The sequence below is a fragment of the Homo sapiens genome, chromosome 19, assembly GCF_000001405.40.
Source record: "Homo sapiens chromosome 19, GRCh38.p14 Primary Assembly".
In the NCBI taxonomy this organism is placed as follows: Eukaryota; Metazoa; Chordata; class Mammalia; order Primates; family Hominidae; genus Homo; species Homo sapiens.
The window spans coordinates 40797798-40816648 of NC_000019.10; the positions used below are offsets into that span (position 1 = coordinate 40797798).

General features: G+C 57.3%; 1 protein-coding gene, 1 long non-coding RNA gene and 1 pseudogene across 4 annotated transcripts in view, besides 7 other annotated features; 2 read left to right on the forward strand and 1 right to left on the reverse strand.

Moving 5' to 3' along the window:
• RAB4B-EGLN2 (RAB4B-EGLN2 readthrough (NMD candidate)) overlaps positions 1–10644 on the forward strand; it is a 30223-nt gene extending 19579 nt beyond the window's left edge. The window contains exons 8-12 of the long non-coding RNA NR_037791.1: positions 2542–3618; positions 8758–8877; positions 9341–9477; positions 9687–9754; positions 10012–10644. This is a non-coding gene — a long non-coding RNA (RAB4B-EGLN2 readthrough (NMD candidate)). The remainder of the gene's footprint in view (positions 1–2541; positions 3619–8757; positions 8878–9340; positions 9478–9686; positions 9755–10011) is intronic.
• Positions 1172–1531: a silencer, noted in NCBI's record as "silent region_10649". NCBI's record gives its function as "represses an Ori minimal core promoter by ATAC-STARR-seq in GM12878 lymphoblastoid cells {active_cell/tissue: GM12878}" and the evidence as "EXISTENCE:reporter gene assay evidence [ECO:0000049][PMID:35858748]".
• Positions 1394–10637, forward strand: EGLN2 (egl-9 family hypoxia inducible factor 2). Of its 2 annotated transcripts, none has more exons than NM_080732.4 (6): positions 1394–1465; positions 2542–3618; positions 8758–8877; positions 9341–9477; positions 9687–9754; positions 10012–10637. In NM_080732.4, exons 2-6 carry the CDS (start codon positions 2776–2778, stop codon positions 10065–10067), a joined length of 1224 nt encoding a protein of 407 aa, NP_542770.2. In that variant the 5' UTR covers positions 1394–1465; positions 2542–2775; the 3' UTR covers positions 10068–10637. The 2 variants fall into 2 exon arrangements, with proteins under 2 accessions (NP_542770.2, NP_444274.1); NM_053046.4 differs by lacking the exon at positions 1394–1465 and adding an exon at positions 1725–1841.
• Positions 1682–1731: a silencer, noted in NCBI's record as "silent region_10650". NCBI's record gives its function as "represses an Ori minimal core promoter by ATAC-STARR-seq in GM12878 lymphoblastoid cells {active_cell/tissue: GM12878}" and the evidence as "EXISTENCE:reporter gene assay evidence [ECO:0000049][PMID:35858748]".
• Positions 3155–3829: an enhancer, noted in NCBI's record as "H3K27ac-H3K4me1 hESC enhancer chr19:41306857-41307531 (GRCh37/hg19 assembly coordinates)". NCBI's record gives its function as "activates a minimal SCP1, AML or CMV promoter by ChIP-STARR-seq in primed H9 embryonic stem cells {active_cell/tissue: H9 hESC(primed)}" and the evidence as "EXISTENCE:reporter gene assay evidence [ECO:0000049][PMID:30033119]".
• Positions 4008–4748: an enhancer, noted in NCBI's record as "H3K4me1 hESC enhancer chr19:41307710-41308450 (GRCh37/hg19 assembly coordinates)". NCBI's record gives its function as "activates a minimal SCP1, AML or CMV promoter by ChIP-STARR-seq in primed H9 embryonic stem cells {active_cell/tissue: H9 hESC(primed)}" and the evidence as "EXISTENCE:reporter gene assay evidence [ECO:0000049][PMID:30033119]".
• Positions 6406–6585: an enhancer, noted in NCBI's record as "active region_14668". NCBI's record gives its function as "activates an Ori minimal core promoter by ATAC-STARR-seq in GM12878 lymphoblastoid cells {active_cell/tissue: GM12878}" and the evidence as "EXISTENCE:reporter gene assay evidence [ECO:0000049][PMID:35858748]".
• Positions 10553–11052: an enhancer, noted in NCBI's record as "H3K4me1 hESC enhancer chr19:41314255-41314754 (GRCh37/hg19 assembly coordinates)". NCBI's record gives its function as "activates a minimal SCP1, AML or CMV promoter by ChIP-STARR-seq in naive H9 embryonic stem cells {active_cell/tissue: H9 hESC(naive)}" and the evidence as "EXISTENCE:reporter gene assay evidence [ECO:0000049][PMID:30033119]".
• Positions 10646–13303, reverse strand: CYP2T1P (cytochrome P450 family 2 subfamily T member 1, pseudogene; annotated as a pseudogene). Its single transcript, NR_144551.1, has 2 exons — positions 12788–13303; positions 10646–12698 (listed from the first exon to the last, which is right to left on the reverse strand). The product of NR_144551.1 is annotated as a cytochrome P450 family 2 subfamily T member 1, pseudogene (transcript).
• Positions 13923–14813: an enhancer, noted in NCBI's record as "H3K27ac-H3K4me1 hESC enhancer chr19:41317625-41318515 (GRCh37/hg19 assembly coordinates)". NCBI's record gives its function as "activates a minimal SCP1, AML or CMV promoter by ChIP-STARR-seq in primed H9 embryonic stem cells {active_cell/tissue: H9 hESC(primed)}" and the evidence as "EXISTENCE:reporter gene assay evidence [ECO:0000049][PMID:30033119]".

Genomic DNA, 18851 nt, shown 5'->3' on the forward strand with positions numbered 1-18851 from the left:
TTAAACACCCATGTGTGGCCAGGCGTGGTGGCTCATGCCTGTAATCCCAGCACTTCGGGAGGCCAAGGCAGATGGATCACTTGAGCCCAGGAGTTGGAGACTATAGCCTGGGCAACACAGAGAGACCCTATCTACAAAAATAAAAAACAGAAAAAGTTAGCCAGGTGTCGTGGTACACACCTGAAGTCCCAGCTATTCCGGAGGCTGAGGTGTGAGGATCACTTTAGTTGGGAGGTTGGGCCTGCAGTGAACTATGATCATGCCACAGCACTTCAGCCTGGGCAAAAGGGTAAGACCCCATCTCAAAAACAAAACTAAACTAGAAACACCCTTGTGTGGCCATGAACCCTGTGTGTGCCCTGAGGACTGCGGGCTTTTGTGCAATCCTCACGCATGTGTGGATACCAGTATGCATGCCCTTGTGCTCACGCGAACCGCCCTACGCCCTCAGGTGGCCTGCAGGGGACTGGTGCAGCCCCGAGGACACTCCCAGTTGCTCGTCGCCCTCCCATCTCCACGTCGGCCTTCACCGACCCGGCGGGAGCCTTGAGTCCCAGCTCTCCAGAGCAATGGTGGAGCGGGCAGGGCATTCAAAATGACCTTATCTCCTTAGTCTCCTAAAGTGTTCCCAGCTGGCCATGCAAATGTCTTCTCTGTGTAGCGTTCCGTGGATTTTTTTTTGTTTCATTTTTTAATTTTGTGTAAAGATAAGGTCTCACTCCGTTGCCCAGACTTTCCCTGGTTCTTTATTCTGATTCCCACAATCGTCCCGAGGGGGCAGGCCGGAGCGGGTCTTGAAAATACACATTTGCACATCCCTTCTAGTCCGCGTTCCCTTTTCTCAAGGGCAACCCGCACTTTTTTGCCTCCGTTATAAAAGATACTTATGTAAATTACTGACGTGCGAATTTACATACATTTCTCAACTAACTGCGTAGCCATTTCTCCGTCTCTCACCTCCGTTCCTGGACGGCGAGAAGGAGGAGGAGCTGACCATGTAAATGAAGTCACGCGCACCGCGCTGCCGAACTCGGTGCCCCGCGCTGGGCGGGGGGCGGGTAGGCCTGTCCATGTAAATCACATCATTTGCGTGCCCCGCCCCGCCGACGCCACTTGATTCCAACATGCAAGAAACGCCCCCTCCCAGACCCGGCCCCTCACACTGCGTTCCCCCTCCCGCGCAAAGGGGGCGGGGCGGAGGATGCAAATGAACCTCGTGTAGGCCACGGACCGCTGTTTCCTTTCTCCTTGGTAGGGGGGTTGTCCCGAACTTCCTCGCCCCGCTCCGCCCCGCCCCGCGCGGCTCGGGCCTGCGCAGGCGCCGTCCCCTCCGCGGGGCGCGGTCACGTGCCCACCGGGCGAGGCGGGGCGGGGCGTCGCGCGCGGTGGGGGCGGGGTATGGCGCGCTGTGCGGCGCAGGGCGGCTGGCACAAACGGCGGCGCCGGGGCCGGAGGAAAAAGCTCGGTGAGGAGGTCGCGGGGCGAGAAGGGAGCGGGAGGAGACTAAGCCGGAGCCGGGGCGCCGGCGCGAACCGGGCGGGGTGTGGGGGCGCGCGCCGGGGCCTGCCGGGGCGACCCCGGGAAGGGGGATGTGGGTGCGGCGCGGGGGAGGGGACGCGCGCCGGTTACGTTGGGTGCCGGCCGTTGTGGGGGTTGGGGTGGGGGCGGGGAGCGCGCGCCGGGCGGAGGCCGAGTGGAGGGGGAGGGGAGGGGGTCCGAGCGGCCCTTAGGCCCTGCCCCTGTCGCCTACTGCGCTCAGAAGGGGCCTCAGGGCCTGCCCCGGGTTGGGGGCGTTGGGGTGCCCTGGATGGGGGCACCTTTATCTCTCGTCCTGTCTCCGGGTGCGTGCACCCTCCTCCGTCCTTTCCTCTGTCGCCGCGGACCCTCTCCCCGAGGGCCCCTCCCGTCGGTCAGTCTCGGGACCTCCCTTCCGTCTGGGCGTGTGTCCGCCCCCGGCCGGCTTCCTCCCGTCGGGCTCGGGTCGACCCCACCGTCCCGCTCCGCCCCGGGTCCTCCCTCCCAGCTTCCCTCCGGTCTATTTTTCTGTCTCTGGGCCCCTCGTTCTCTTTGTTTTTGGACTCCCCAGTTTCCTCTGTCTTTTGACCCCCCCGCCCCCACCCTGACTCTCCCTGGAACCCCCACGTTTCTCGTTGTCTTTCTGGAACGCCGAGGCAGGTCCCTCCTATTTTCCAAACCCCCTCCTTTCCCACTCCTCCACACCACCCTTTTCTACTCCAGCCCTCCTTCTTCTGTCTTTGGTTACCGCGTCCCACAACCTGCACCACAGTCCTCTGTCTTAGGGTCATCTACCCAGCCCCTGGCCTCCAGCCTCTCCCTATCACTGCCTCTTATCTGTCAGCGGACTCCCGCACCTCCAGATTCTCAGGGTCCTCTCCCCGACTTGGCCTCAGGTTTTGGGGGGCCTCTATAGTCAAGTCTGTCCTGGTCGTCTTCCCCACTCCTGCCCATACCATCCCGGCTTTCCCCTGCCTGCCTGTCTCTAGTTTCTCTCACATCCCTTTTTTTTTTTCCTTTCTCTAGCCACCCTGAAGGGTCCCTTCCCAAGCCCTTAGGGACCGCAGAGGACTTGGGGACCAGCAAGCAACCCCCAGGGCACGAGAAGAGCTCTTGCTGTCTGCCCTGCCTCACCCTGCCCCACGCCAGGCCCGGTGGCCCCCAGCTGCATCAAGTGGAGGCGGAGGAGGAGGCGGAGGAGGGTGGCACCATGGGCCCGGGCGGTGCCCTCCATGCCCGGGGGATGAAGACACTGCTGCCATGGACAGCCCGTGCCAGCCGCAGCCCCTAAGTCAGGCTCTCCCTCAGTTACCAGGGTCTTCGTCAGAGCCCTTGGAGCCTGAGCCTGGCCGGGCCAGGATGGGAGTGGAGAGTTACCTGCCCTGTCCCCTGCTCCCCTCCTACCACTGTCCAGGAGTGCCTAGTGAGGCCTCGGCAGGGAGTGGGACCCCCAGAGCCACAGCCACCTCTACCACTGCCAGCCCTCTTCGGGACGGTTTTGGCGGGCAGGATGGTGGTGAGCTGCGGCCGCTGCAGAGTGAAGGCGCTGCAGCGCTGGTCACCAAGGGGTGCCAGCGATTGGCAGCCCAGGGCGCACGGCCTGAGGCCCCCAAACGGAAATGGGCCGAGGATGGTGGGGATGCCCCTTCACCCAGCAAACGGCCCTGGGCCAGGCAAGAGAACCAGGAGGCAGAGCGGGAGGGTGGCATGAGCTGCAGCTGCAGCAGTGGCAGTGGTGAGGCCAGTGCTGGGCTGATGGAGGAGGCGCTGCCCTCTGCGCCCGAGCGCCTGGCCCTGGACTATATCGTGCCCTGCATGCGGTACTACGGCATCTGCGTCAAGGACAGCTTCCTGGGGGCAGCACTGGGCGGTCGCGTGCTGGCCGAGGTGGAGGCCCTCAAACGGGGTGGGCGCCTGCGAGACGGGCAGCTAGTGAGCCAGAGGGCGATCCCGCCGCGCAGCATCCGTGGGGACCAGATTGCCTGGGTGGAAGGCCATGAACCAGGCTGTCGAAGCATTGGTGCCCTCATGGCCCATGTGGACGCCGTCATCCGCCACTGCGCAGGGCGGCTGGGCAGCTATGTCATCAACGGGCGCACCAAGGTAAGGCTAGGTGGGGGCCTCTTTGGAGGGGCTTTGCAGCACCCTGGTTTGCAGCATTCAGTGCTCTGAGCACAGTGGGTTTGGAGACAGGCTTCTGGGAGGTCACAGAAGGTTTAGGCAGTTCAGTGGAGTGGGTATGCTTACTTGTGGGGACTTGGGGGGGTCTTTATCCTCCCTACGGGCCTTAATGTGTGCACCTGATAAGCTAGGAGTTTGTCCTGGAGCCACAGTGGTTCTTTTTTTTTTTTTTTTTTTTTTCTTTTCTTTTTTTATTGATCATTCTTGGGTGTTTCTCGCAGAGGGGGATTTGGCAGGGTCACAGGACAATAGTGGAGGGAAGGTCAGCAGATAAACAAGTGAACAGAGGTCTCTGGTTTTCCTAGGCAGAGGACCCTGCGGCCTTCTGCGTGTTTGTGTCCCTGGGTACTTGAGATTAGGGAGTGGTGATGACTCTTAACGAGCATGCTGCCTTCAAGCATCGCCACAGTGGTTCTTGACTTTGCCAGGAACCCTCTTAAACTCATGAGAGCTGCTGACATTCACAGCGTGGACCTTGGTGGGGTTCATGGCCTCCTGGTGTCAGTCTGTGGCCCCAGACCAAGCACGGGGATGTAGATAGGCACACAGTTCACCTGGCCGTTCTCTGTTGCTGTCTGTCCCTGTCCACATCCTTCCCTGTGCTCCTGTCGTCCATCCCTGTTTGCTGGCCCATGTTTCTAGTCCATCCATCCTGTCTCCAAGGCAGGAGAAGCAGAAGGGGGAGGGTGGCTGTGATGAGTGAGCCCTGGGCTGAGGGAAGGAAAGGGGTGCTGCCCGCTGGGCCGAGTGCTTGGCCCTGGACTGCATTGTGCCCTGGGTCCCCACTGTGGCATCTGCATCGAGGACAGTCTCCTGGGGGTGGTACTGGGTGGCTGCCTGTTGGCCCAGGTGGAGCTCATCCCCATGTCTCCCACCCTTCACTGTCCCAGTCCCTGCCCTCCATTCCCCCTGTCCTGTGTGTCACTTCCTCCCTACCCATGTCTGTCTCTTCCTCTGCCTTTATGTGTTTGTTCTTAGTCCCTTTTTCTTTTTGCTTTAGAACAATAGTTCTTAATGGTATTTTGGAGCCTGGGTCTTTTTGAGAATCTGTCAGAGGCCACAGATCCTCTCTTAAGACAAATGCTCATTTGCTTGGAGTTTCCGGGCAGTTGTCAAGGCCTCATGGCCTCCAGCTGCCTGTTCAGGAACCTGGGGTCAGGAGCCCAGCACAGGACAGTGGTCCATAGGGCCTTTCCGGGCTGCTGACAGGATCATTGTCTTCATGGGTGGTGTGGGGGCCTGGCCTTGAGTCCAAGGCTTGGTGTCCTTTGGACAAGGCCCTGTGGGGAGTGCCCACTGCTCAACACAGTGATGCCTGGCTGGCTGATGGCACGGGCAGTGTTGTGCCCTGCAGGCGTGAGGCTGAGCTCCTGATGTCCTCTGCCTCCTCCTGCAGATCCCATCTTGGGTTCTGCTTCTGTGTGGCTTTCCTCTCAGGCTGGAGCTGGCTCAGGGACCAGGGCTCCCCCGGGGCCAAGGCCTGTTTCCTCCCCACCCCAGCTGGAACTTGTTCTACTTCCCTCTCCCTCCCGTTACTTGATAGCTGAGCCAGAGCCGGCCCCTCCCTGGGCTTGGCTCCTGTGCGGGCGGGATCAGTGGCCTCCCTGGCTCAGCATCTTCACCCCAGGTTGGCTGTCGTCCTCGTCAGGGGGAGACCAGAAGGGCTGAGTGGCCCAGATGGGACACTGCTCTGAGCCTCAATTTGCTGATCCACGGAATACGAAAACCAGGTTACATCCCCAGTGAGTCTGGCAGTTTGGGGAGGGGAGAGTAGGAGAAGATCTCTTGTGTTTTGGTGCCTCTGGTGCCCACTTTCTATGTGGTTGGGGACAGGGCCCCAGCGAGGATTGGGGAAGGGGCGTGTTTGGACTTTTTTAGCCCTAGGTGACCTTGATTGTCCTAGGGAAGTAAGGACAGGCCAGGCTGGACTGAGAACATAGGGGAGGAGCCCTCCCCTCCCCAGTGAGACAGCAACTCCAGGCTTTCCCGCTTTTAGATGGGCCCCATCTGGACTCTCTCCTGTACTCCAGAGTAAGGCTGTGGGGTGCTCAGGTGGGCTGCAGCAGTTGCCGTGGGGACATGGATCACCAGTGTGGCTAGAGCCAGTAGAAACGTGCTTCTTAGTCGTTCTGAGTGGAGCTCCTGTGTCATCCTTCCTTCCCCCAACTCCCTGGTTGGGGACAGGTGCTCCGTTGACCTGTAGGTGGGAGAGAGTTGACTCCCACTGGCAGCAAGGGCTACCAGAGGGGACCCCAGGGAGAGTCCAGCTTGCTTGGTTTGCTCCTTGAAGAGCAGCTTGGAGGTGGGACAGTCACAGGCTTCTGACTGGGGTGTGTGTGTAGTGGGGGTGGGGCTCTTGGCAGGCAGATTGTCACCAATAGCCTTTAAGTCTTTGGTCTCCTGGCCCTGGTCCCACCTGTCCCTCCCCTAGGTGGGAGGGGTGGAGAGCAAGTTTCCTGAGGCCTTCCCCTGTGAGGGCAGGAAGTAGATACTTTCCTTGGGGCCAGAGGATGCTTTCACCCCCAAGGTGTGTATATGTGGGGGAAGGGTGGGGCCCTAAAGAGCAGGTTCCTGTTTCTGTGTGAGTCCCATGTGCTTGGTGGGAGGCGCTGTGTGAGAATGTACAGGGCAGGAGGAAACATAGCAGGGCTGGGGTGCAGAGGAGGCCCAGAGCAGTGCACTCCAGTCTGCAGGTACTGCACTGGGCACTGGGGAGACCAACCTGGCCCCAGGGGCTTCCCTGTGGCTGCCTTCCAGGGCAGTACTAGGTAAACAGGTGCCTGTGCTGATGCCATGTTGCTAGGAGTGGAACGGACAATCAGCCGGAGTACTCAAGGTGACCCTTGGTCTCTGAATCCTGAATAACAAAGAGGGTCAGAAGGAAGAGTGTCCCAGGCCAGTGCTGAGGCCTTGTGGTGGCGATGAGCTCAGCCTGTTGAGGCATGGAGCAGAGTGATGGGAGAGGCACATGAGGTTGGGGGCCTTTGAGGCTGTGGTTGGGAATTTGTATTTTCTCAGGATGGAGTGAAGACCTGGAGAGGAGGGGCTCTGGCTGCTGTGTGGGGATGAATTGTGGGAAGAGGGTGCAGCACTGGACCCCTTCCCTGCCACCCATCCACGTGCATCATCAGTGTAATCTCTGATTGGATTCCTAATTGGGGAGGTCTTGCCCATCTCTAGTCAGTAACTCACTGTTTCTAAGCCTCCTGGACCATGGCCCAATTCTTCTCCCAGTGAGGTGGTTGCTCAGAGTGCCGACCCTTCCATAGGGAGTGAGCAGTGCAAAGAAGGTGCCCCCTCCTGAACCTTGAAGTGTAGCCATTAGGGTTTTCCCTGGGGGGCCTTCTCACTAATTGTACTCTGGTGCTGCCAGAGAGAAGGTTGTCAGCTTCCCACTGCTAGGTGGCAGTAGATGGTGGCAGCCCTCTCTTTCCAGGGCAAGGTCTGGTGGATGAGGTGCACATGGTTAATGCAGAGCAGCTTAACATCCACCACAGAGGGTGAGCCCTGGGATAATGTGTTGGGAGGCGTCCTGGGGAGGGTGAGGATTGAAGCAGCCCAGTCTGCTGTGGCGTGCGTGCTTGGCAAGCATCCTGTTGTGGCAGTGGCCACTGATGTTTGATCGTGAATGTTTATCTTGGGACTGTCTTGCTGGGCCGGGCCCATAGGTGTAGCTGAGCATTCGTGGGGAATGGACGCCAGCAGAGTTGTACCAGGGCAGAGAGGTCAGGGCAGAGAGGTCAAGACAGATGGTCCGGGCTGGGGAGAAGTTGAAGGGTCCTTGTGCCAGTCCTCCCCTTTTTGTGTGCTACCTCATCTTGCCACTGCAGTGACTTTGGGCAGAGGGTGGGACAGGGACCTTTTAAAATTTTTAAATGGCATTTCAGCCTGTGCTCCAGTTCTCCATGTGGCAGGCACTGTGCTGGCTGTCTTCCCAGACACTTGTTATCTTGTTCACTTGTTCCACAACAACCTGTGAAATAGCTGTGAGCTCCATTGGATCCATGGATGAGGAACCTGAGACCAGGAAGTCACCTGCCTGATGCCACAGCTCATGTGGCAGCACTGAGACTTGAACCAGGGAATTGTGTCTGCAGAAGTGGCTGGGCCATTTCCTTTACCTCTCAGCCACCTTTCTGCCAGCTCCCTGATGACAAACATCCCGGGGCCCTGGCCACAGCATTGTAGGGCTGGGTCAGGGGAGTGGCAACTGTCAGGCAGAGGAAAGAACCCTGTAGACAGAGAAACCAAGCCCTGCAATGAGTCCTGTTAGATCTCCAGGAGTTGGGGCTCCAGAACCTCCCAAGTTATGTTCTCAGAGAGATTAATTGCTACCGCTGTAAACAGCAGTGTTTATTACCCCTGCTGTACACATCAGGCAGTTGAGGCCCATTCAGGTGTTGGAACTGGCTAGGGTTACCCAGCAAATTATCCTTGGAGTTGGAATTAGGTCTTTCTATTCAGACTGTAGCTTTTGGCTCCTGTTCGGAGGTCTATGGGACAGATAATTTAGTGGGGATTCTTTGTAGTCCAGGGCAGCAGTTCTTAACATTGCTGCATGGTAGAATTACCTGGGAAGCTTTACCAATTTCAGGCCCTTCCTTAGGCCAGGTACTTCAGAACCTCAGAGCTCCCCAGGGGGCTCCACTCCACAGCCAAGGGTAAGAATTCCTGGTCTAGGGCTGTGAGGCCACCTCCTTGCACACCTGAAAATGTTTAAATTGGTATTATTCTACTGAAATGGCTGAGGTGGGGTTTGGGGTATCTTGAAACAAATCAAACTCTGTTACTAATTGAGCCCTAGCTGGGTGCCAGGCCCCAGGTATGTGTGTTGGGAGGGAGTGGGCTCTTGAGGCCCAGGAGCTGAGGTTTCTGATAGACTTGGGGATGGGATTTTGGCTGAAAAAGAAAGTCTTTTGGGGCAGGAGCTTGGAACCCTTGACCCAAGGAGTCATGGGGAAGATGGGGCAAGGAGGGGTGGGAAAATAGGTAATTCATGGCTGCTTCTCTAAGATGTGCCTGCCTAGCCCCAGTAAACCTACCTCCCTCCATCCCTGCCAGGCCATGGTGGCGTGTTACCCAGGCAACGGGCTCGGGTACGTAAGGCACGTTGACAATCCCCACGGCGATGGGCGCTGCATCACCTGTATCTATTACCTGAATCAGAACTGGGACGTTAAGGTAGGGGTGAGGGTGAGGGTGAGGGTGGCGCTGGGGCTAGGGCTGGGGCGGGGGTGGCGTGCGTCCACTCCATTTTCCACTCTCAGCCCAGATTCTGGCATTCTCCTGTTTCTCTTCTCAACACACAGCGGGCAGTGCGATCTGCCGGCTCTTCCTGGGAAATGGCACCTCCTCCTCTCTAGCGGACTGTGTGGTGGGAACTCCCCTCTTTCCGGGAATGGTGCTGTCTGCCCAGCCCCACCCGGCCTTGTAATGAACACTTTCCCCCTTTTCCTGTCTTTAGTAGCTTCCTGCCCATCTCCATGGTGATGCAGTCTCTGGGTTGTCATTCACTTTGAGAGCCCGAGGGGTGGGAGGGAGTGATGCAGGCAGACGCTGCGCCTCCTAGTGGGCTCCCGGGGCACCGTGGGAGGCAGCGGCTCCTGGCCGTACCAGCTAGCCTCATCCTTTGGCCTGCCCCCAGGTGCATGGCGGCCTGCTGCAGATCTTCCCTGAGGGCCGGCCCGTGGTAGCCAACATCGAGCCACTCTTTGACCGGTTGCTCATTTTCTGGTCTGACCGGCGGAACCCCCACGAGGTGAAGCCAGCCTATGCCACCAGGTATGACCTGTACTTCTGGAGACGCACCCAGGTGCTCCCCCTGTGACAATGTCCTGTCAGAGCCTCAGAGTGACTAGGGAGCGACGAAGTATTGAGAGGGGGCCTAGGTGGGAGCAGAACCGGGTGGCTCAAAAGGATGGCCGCCTAGTGTGTGTGGATATGGTAGCTGGAATTGCAGAAAACTAATGTCCAACCACCCTGGTCTCCAGGTACGCCATCACTGTCTGGTATTTTGATGCCAAGGAGCGGGCAGCAGCCAAAGACAAGTATCAGCTAGGTACCTGCTTCCCTCCCTTCAGTCCTTCCTATTCTGTGGGCCCTCTTGGGCCTGATGCCACCCCATCCCCCTCATCAGCCTCTTGTTAAATCCCACCACTCATTTTTCTTCATCTCTGCCCACCTTCCTTAGCCCACTCTCCTGGTACCCCAACAGGAGCCCCATTTCTTCCTGGTCCTCTCCCCATCTCCCCAGGTTTCCCTTGGCTTCTTTGTCCTTCTGATGACTCACTGTCTCCTGTCCCCTCTCACCCCCAGCATCAGGACAGAAAGGTGTCCAAGTACCTGTATCACAGCCGCCTACGCCCACCTAGTGGCCAGTCCCAGAGCCGCATGGCAGACAGCTTAAATGACTTCAGGAGAGCCCTGGGCCTGTGCTGGCTGCTCCTTCCCTGCCACCGCTGCTGCTTCTGACTTTGCCTCTGTCCTGCCTGGTGTGGAGGGCTCTGTCTGTTGCTGAGGACCAAGGAGGAGAAGAGACCTTTGCTGCCCCATCATGGGGGCTGGGGTTGTCACCTGGACAGGGGGCAGCCGTGGAGGCCACCGTTACCAACTGAAGCTGGGGGCCTGGGTCCTACCCTGTCTGGTCATGACCCCATTAGGTATGGAGAGCTGGGAGGAGGCATTGTCACTTCCCACCAGGATGCAGGACTTGGGGTTGAGGTGAGTCATGGCCTCTTGCTGGCAATGGGGTGGGAGGAGTACCCCCAAGTCCTCTCACTCCTCCAGCCTGGAATGTGAAGTGACTCCCCAACCCCTTTGGCCATGGCAGGCACCTTTTGGACTGGGCTGCCACTGCTTGGGCAGAGTAAAAGGTGCCAGGAGGAGCATGGGTGTGGAAGTCCTGTCAGCCAAGAAATAAAAGTTTACCTCAGAGCTGCACACATCTGACTCCATCTGCAATTTAGGGCCTTTATTGACCGAGGAGGGTATGGAGGTTTGAGGGCCAGTGAGCCCACCATAGTGGAGCCTGACCTCAGCAGGCCACTGGCTGGAGCTGGAAGTCTGGGGGGACACTGCCCAGGCCAGTGCACTGCAGGTGAGGTTGATGGTGCCAGGGCGTACCACAGGGAGCAGGCAGAACCTCTGTAAGGTGGCCGTAAGGAATAGGAAGATACCCGAGTGGGCCAGGCCTGTGCCCAGGCACATCTGCTTTGCCGGGTACACAGGTGCACAGTGAGCACCAGGTACCCCAGAGCCAGTCCAGGCTGGTCCCCTTCCTCCTCTGCCTGCACCTGAGGCAAAGGGCATGAAAGCATCATTGCCCTGGAACTTGCCCTTGTCCAGGAAGTTGGTAGGGTTGAAGCAGTCTGGGTCTTTGAATTGAGTGGGGTCCCGGTGTGCAGTCACAAGCAGGGGAATCACAAAAGTGCCCTGGGGATACATGCAACTTGGGTTACCTGCGGGCTTGGTGAGCACCTGCACCACCTCCATCCAAGACGCTTTTTAAAAGCCCAAGGGAATAGGCCGGGCAAGTAGCTCACGCCTGTAATCCCAGCACTCTGGGAGGCTGAGGACAGATCACTTGAGGTCAGAAGTTCGAGACCAGCCTGGCCAACATGGCGAAACCTGTCTCTACTAAAAATACAAAAATTAGCCAGGCGTGGTGGTGGGTGCCTGTAATACCAGGTACTCAGGAGGCTGAGGCAGGACAATCGCTTGAACCCAGGAAGTGGAGGTTGCAGTGAGCCAAGATCATGCCACTGCATTCTAGCCTGAATGACAGAGCCAGACTCCGTCTCAAACAACAACAACAAAAAGCCTAAGGGAAGGCAGAGCTGCCTTCCTGCTCCAGGGGTAACTGATTGTGTTTTGGTCTGCACAGCGCACACCTGCTGATTCTGGCTGATCTCATGCACCCGGGTCCCGCACGGGATCCCCAGACTCAGTGGGTACCTTTGGGCAGACAGTGGCTGTGCAGGTGGGTGTCGAGGGTGAGGGTGCGCGGCAGCCCCAGGGGCACCACGCTGATGAAGCACTGGATCTCGAGCAGCACTGCGTTGGCGTAGGGCAGGCACACGCGATAGTCCAGGCTTGGGGCGGGCCTCCACCCTACCACAGGGTCCAGCTCCTGCACCTTGGCTCAGGCCGGGGGAGGCTGTGAGCTGCGCACTTCCAGGACCCTCCAGCCATCCCCAGACTGCAGCCTCCCATTCTGGGTCTCTCCGGGTTGCACACCTGCCACCTCTAGGTACTTAAGCAGAATGAGGAGCCCATAGCACAGGGTGGTGCTCGTGGTTTCGGTGACGCCAAAAAAAAAATGCGTCGTCATTACCGACGTCTACTCCTGGAAATGGCTCTCCGGGTCCTGCTGTTACTGTGGGCAGAGGAGATGTGCTGCCGCGTGCCAGGCACCTGTTGGTGGGCGGCATGGATAGAGTTTAGAGAGCTGGGACCCATGCCTTACCCATCTGGTCAAGCAATCAATGAAATCGCGGGGCTCCGCTGGCTGCCGCATCTGCCAGTGTCGTTGAATTTGCTCAGAGATGACCCGCAGCTCCGAAAAGTTTCGGAAGATTCGGTGGTGCGGGCCCGGGAGCCAGTCCATGAGGGACAGGCAAATGTACATCTGGAGAGACAGGGTCTGTCTCAACATGGGCCCTGCACAAGGCCACTAGGCCTTAGTTTCCCTACAGGGAGATTGGACTAGGACTTTGATACTGGATGTTCTAGAACTCTTCCAGGAATCTGTCCCATTCTAATGATCCATTGTAGGTAGGTCTGTGTACTCGGGATTTGGCATAAGGCTGGACGCACCAAGGAAAGATTGTGGCCGGCCCTCTCACCTCGCCCCATCTGGAACTAATGATGCAGAAGTTGTCACTGAAGAGGTTCAGGAGCCTCAGGAACTCCGGGTCCCCATAGCGATAGCGGTTCCCGAAGACAAGAACAGATAACATTGGATACAGCATTATCCAGTAGCCGCACGGGGTCAAACGGGGCTCCTGGGGGTAGGAACAGGACGGTGGTCATAACGCGTGGTCCTGCCCCCAGCCAGCCCCATGGGCTTACTGGCTTTCTTCCACCCAAATACCTTCCAGTGGCCCCGTCTTGGCAGTGCAAGGGACTCTCCCACACCAGGCCCTTCCGCTCTCCCGGCCAGGCCGAAGCAATGGTGGCTTGAAATTCGTCTAGCAGACAAGCCGCCTCCTCCAGGACGCGCGCCTCGACGGTCCGCGTACCCAACCCGAACTTCTTAAGCGCTCCAAGTGCAAAATTGCGCAGTGTCCACCAGCACGGCCGGTTAGAAAACAAGATTCCTGTGGTGGGGACGGGAAAGGAGGCGGGCCGGGGAGCCGGCCACGCCCTATCCAGGAAGCGCCGGGTCACTGGCTACATCCCTTTAGGGGCCTCCGACTCCTGCGGCCGGCTTCGTTCCCTTTGCTTCTTTACCAGACCTCCAAGTGCCCTATCCACACATTGGCCCCGCCTTTGCTGGGCTCCATCCCTGACCTAGGCTGGCTCTCGGGCTTTGACTCTTAGGCTCTTTTCTCCTGTTGGCTGCAGGATGAACCTCCATTCTAACCTTACGCTTTAGCGCCGCCCCGCCCTCTCTCGGCCGTTTGCACCTCATTAGCTGGAGTCTCTATTAGGCCCCGCCCCCATTTGCCCGCCTCTACCATTTACCCGCCCAGCCTGGAGCGTCCGGGCCGGCAAGTCCAGCGCCGGGGCCTCACTGTTTCCGCGTGTGAAGCGTTCGAAGACTGCCATGGACCCGCGGCCAGAGACCGCATCCGCCTGTAGCACTAACGCGTCCCGCAGCGCTGCGTAGCCGCACAGCCCCACCGCAGGGCGCGGGCCCAGCCGCACTGTGAACACCCGGCCCCAGCGGCCGGAGAGCTACGGGTAGCCGGTGCTCAGCGGGTGCCCATAGGGTTCCTCATCGGAGCCATTGCCCCCAGCTCCCTCTTCCTTCAGACCCAGGAGTCCTCGTCTCAGACCCTCATTCCTCAGGCCCAGGAATTCAAATCCCCAGCTCCTTCCTCCCTGAGATCCAGGAGTCCAGGCCCCCACTTCCTTCTTCCCTTAGGACCTGGAAGTCCAGCTTCCCAGCCTCCTGCACCCTCAGAGTCGTCTCCTGGGCCCTCAGTACTCAGCCTGCCCACCCTGAACCAGAACAGACCCCCTGCTCCCCTCTTCCCACAACCTGATTTCCTGCTCTGGGCTCCTTCGTTACGACCCAGTGTCCCGGCCCCAGGCTCTCCACTCCCTATTCTCCTTTCCTAGTACTCAGCAGTCCGGAGCACTCATCCTTCCTGTCCTTCCTCAGGATCATAGAGTACAAACCCTCAGCTGTCTTCATTCAGGAGGAGTTCTAGTCCCCAGCCCCACCTTCACGAATCCAGAATTCCGTTCCCCCATTCCTGTCGGGAATGGAGTGCGCGGTCCAGGCCTCCGGACTGCAGCTGCAAGTTCCCCAGCAATGGGAGCGGCCTGGGCCGGGGAGGTAGGGACCCCCGCATCTGAGCGCGGCACCCACCCTACCCCCACCACGCCGGCGCCAGCACCAGAAGCCACAACAGCAGCGCAGCGATACCCGCGACATGCCTGCAATTCTCCACGCCTGCACCCCTTCACCTCTATTTGATTTCCAAGGGGTCTTAGGGGTGGAGCGGGGCGGAGACCCGATGTGGGAGGAGTGGGCGTCTCCGGGCTGCTCATTCCGTGGATTCCCCAACCCGACGTCTCCACCCCGCCCCCAGCCCTAGTGGAGCTGTGCCCTGGCTCCCCCTGGCTTTTTTTGTGTGTCTGCCTCAGCCTGTCTTACTTAGCAACTTTCGTGCACCAGCATTTTCATGGCAACACACCTGGACAACAGGTGCACCCTCCTGAGCCCCTAGCACCTTTGAGTCCAATTTACTTGGCCTGTAAGTGTGTATTCCTCAATCTCCGGGCCACCTCTGGGTCCCCTGAACGCTGTACCCTGTACCTCTGATTCCTAAATACACACCGACTCTCAAATACACCACTTCTGTTTTTTTTTTTTCCCTTCTTAGAGTTTCACTCTTGTTGCCCAGGCTGGAGTGCAGCAGTGGGATCTCGGCTCACTGCAACCTCCACCTCCCAGGTTCAAGATTCTCCTGTTTCAGCCTCCTGAGTAGCTGGGATTACAGGCATGCACCACTAGGCCTGGCTAATTTTTGTATTTTTAGTAGAGACGGAGTTTCACCGTGTTGGCCAGGCAGATCTCAAGCTACTGACCTCAGGTGATCCGCCTGCCTCGGCCTCCCGAGGTGTTGAGACTACAGGCCACTGCGCCTGGCTCAAATACACTTCTAAAGACACCCCTGGCATTCCTGTGCTCTGTGCCTGTGATTCCTAGGAGCTCACACCTGAGCCCTTGTCACTTCCATTACTCTTAGGACCCTGTGTACTATGCTTGTTCCCCAGATCTGCCTTCAATTTCCCTGGCTTCTGGGTGTCCATCAGTCTGGCACTTCTGTGCCTCTCCTTAGTTCTTCAGGGTGCCTTTCTGCATGTTGATCCCCTTGTACCTCCATATTATGTCCTGCCCTGAATCTACCATCTCTATCCCCAAGGCACTGGCTCCCAGATGCCCCCAAATGTTCTGTGCCCATGCTGCTGAACCCCCTGGTATCCAGTCCCCCAAGTCCCTGTCTGAGGCCAGGCCATGACGACAGACAAACTTATCCCTCATTCTCTCATCTATCCCCCCCAACCCCCATCCTAGGGCATGGGCTAGAGGGGGCAGACTCTGGCCTGGATGGGCCAGGGCTGCGGTGGTGGGAGCAGTGAGGTTGGGGCTGTATTTGGAACAGACTGTTCAGGAATGTGGTCCACCCTCCTGCCTGTCCCTGCTTGGCCAAATCCAGCCTTCCTCCAAGTGCCTGGCACAGGGCCCAGACCTGGGGAGATGGTGGGCGGGGGGTGGACTGTGCAGAGCCTAGGACTGGCATTGTCTCTGGGAGGGTCTCTGTGTATCTTTGTTTCATCTCTCAGTCTTGCTTGCTCCCTCCCTCCCTCCCTCTGTCCGTCCCTCCCTCCCTCCCTCCCTCCCTCCCTCCCTCCCTCCCTCCCTTCCTTTTTTCTTTTTTTTTTTTGAGACAGAGCCTGGCTTCTGTCCCCCAGGCTGGAGTGCAGTGGTACGATCATGGCTCACTGCAGCCTCAACCTCCTGGGATCAAACAAGCCTCCCACCTTGGCCTCCCAAGTAGCTGGGACCATAGGTACACACCACCACGTCCGGCCAATTTTTGTATTTTTTAAGGAGACAGGATGTCACTGTGTTGCCCAGGCTGGTCTCCAACTCCTGGGCTCAAGCAATCTTTCTGCCTTGGTCTCCCAAACTGCTGGGAGTATAGTTGTGAACCAGCGCGCCCAGCCTCCCTCACTCTCAGTCTCTGTGTTTCTGTGTTCATCTCTCTCTCTCCTCTTTCTGTCTCTTCCCATCTCTCTCTCTTTTCTCTCAGTCTCTGCCTCTGTTTGTGTCTGTTTTCTGTCTCTCTTTTCAGTATGTCTGTGTCTTCCCCTCCCTGTATCTCCCCTAGTCTGTGCTTCCCTTTGTCTCAGCCTGGCACTTCTGTGCCTCTCCTTATTTCTTCAGCGTGCCTTTCCGCATGTTTACCCCCTTGTACCTCCATATTCTGTCCTCCCCTATCCTGGGTCTTCCTACCTGTCAGCCTTTCTGGAACCTGGTGACTGACAGGGGTTGTGGGGCAGGACCCCTGCTCAGAGCTGCTGACTCCACTGACAGCGGGAGTGTGGTGGGGCACAGTAAGCTGCATCCTCCCCCAGCCCTACCCCACCCTCTGTGACAGGCTTTAATGGATCCTGTTTATTATGGCTTCTGGTTTCTCCCCAGCTCCTGACTCTTCCTCCGTTTTGCTCGGGTGGGCTGTCCTCTGGAATGTCAGCTCTTCTAGAGCAGGGATTTTGTCTTGTTCGCTTCTGTATCCCAGCACTTAAAGTAGTGCCCAGCACAGCAGTAGGCACTTAGTAAATGTTTGTTGAATGAATGCCCAATTTTTCTTCCTCGCTACTTCTCTTTGTTTTTTTTTTTTTTTTTATAGAGACAGGGTCTTGTTAGGTTGGCCAGGTTGGTCTTCAACTCTTGGTCTCAAGCAGTCCTCCTGCCTCAGCCTCCTAAAGTGCTAGGATCACAGGCATAAGCCACCATGCCCAGCCTCTTTCTTCCCTCCCCTCCCCTCTTTTCCCTTTCTTCTTCTCTTCCCTTCCCTTCTGTCTGTCTTGTTCTGTCGCCCAGGCTGGAGTGCAGTGGCACCATCACAGCTCACTGCAGCCATGACTGCCTGGGCTCAAGTGATCCTCCCACCTGAGCCTCCCAAGTAGCTGGGACTAGAGGTGCGTGCCACCATGCCTAGCTAATTTTAAAAATATTTATAGAGACCAGGTCTCACTATGTTGCCCAGGCTGGTCTCGAACTCCTGGGCTCAAGTGATCCTCCCGCCTTGGTGTTTCTATCTCTTTGTAATTAGACTGGATTTCTCTGTTTCTCTCTTTCTTTTCCTCCCTTTTTCTTTTTCTCTCAGGTCTCTCTATCTCTCTTCATTTCTGTTCTCTTTATTTATCTTTGCTTTAGGGTCTCTTTGTCTTTCCTCTCTCTGGACATCACTGTCTTTCCCTTTTCTCAGTGGCTCTCTTTCTCCTCCCGGTCTCTGTTTTCCAGGATCTCTTTGCCATCCCTGCGTATCTGTCTCTTCCTTTTCCTCTCCATCTCTTCTCAGTGTCTTCACGTGTTTTTCTCCATCATCTCTCTCTGCCTGTCTTTCTCAGGACCTCTGAGTCTCTCTGTCTCTCCCTCTCTTCTCCCTCTCTCCCCCGACCTCTGTGTCCCTGGCTGGGTCCTGGGGCAGACTCTGGTCAGCCTGTGATGGGAACAGTGTGGGGATTAAAGAGCTGACATCTTAATCCCCATGTGGGCACTGCCTATAAGCCTCACTCCAGTCAGCCCCATGCTCAGCAGAGCATGTCCCAGTTTCTGCATCACTTTGGGGAGACCCCGTTCAGGGTAGAGCCTCCCAGGCCACCTCCACTGATGGCTGAGGGGCCAGTTCCACTCTGCCTGAATCTGGCTCGATGTGCTTTGGGACGCCTGCCCAGCGAGAACAGCCACTGTCAGCAGGATGTTAGGGTATTAGGTCGGGTCCCAGGTTGGGAGGGTACATGCCTGGGGTTGCCATCCTCATCCCAAAGGGGAGAATTTCAGAGAATTTCAGTGAGAGGGTGGGAGGGCCGAGTGCAGTGGTTCATGCCTGTAATCCCAGCACTTTGGGAGGCTGAGGTGGGCAGATCACTTGAGGCCAGTAGTTCAAGACAAGCCTGGCCAACATGGTGAAACCCCATCTCTACTAAAAATACAAAAATTAGCCGGGCATGGTGGTGCATGCCTGTAATCCCAGCTACTCTAGGGAGGCTGAGGCACGAGAATCACTTGAGCGCTGAAGGTGGAGGTTGCAGTGAGCTGAGATCATGCCACTGCACTCCAGCCTGGGCAACAGAGTGAGACTCTGTCCCCCCAACCCTCCAAAAAAAAAAAGAAAAAAAAAGAAAGAAAAAGAAAAGAGGGGCTCGGGATTGAGGGAGAGAGCCTCAGTCCTCAGAACTCCCATTGTCATTGCTCATCTGTCTTTCTCTGGTCATTTCTCTGTTTCTTTCCATTTTCTCTCTCAATTCCCCTGCCTCCCATTTCTTAGTGTCGGTATTTCTCTGCTTTTCTCTGTATTTAAGGGTGTCTGCCTCTTTCTTGGTCTCTGACTTGTGAATTAAAAGGTAGTAGTTAGAAGTGCAGTGTCTGAGTAGGGCATGGTAGTGTGCACAGGTTGTCCAGAACTTTGGGAGGCTGAGGCTGGAGGATCACTTGAGGTCAGGAGTTCGAGACCAGCCTGGGCAATATAGTGAGACTGCCTCTACAAAAAATAAAAATAAAAAAATTAGTGGCTGAGTGCAGTGGCTTATGCCTGTAATCCCAGCACTTTGGGAAGCTGAGGTAGGCAGATCACCTGAGGCCAAGAGTTCAAGACCAGCCTGGCCAACATGGTGAAACCCTGTCTCTACTAAAAAAAAAAAAAAAAAAAAAATTAGCTGGGTGTGGTAGCGGGCGCCTGTAATCCCAGCTG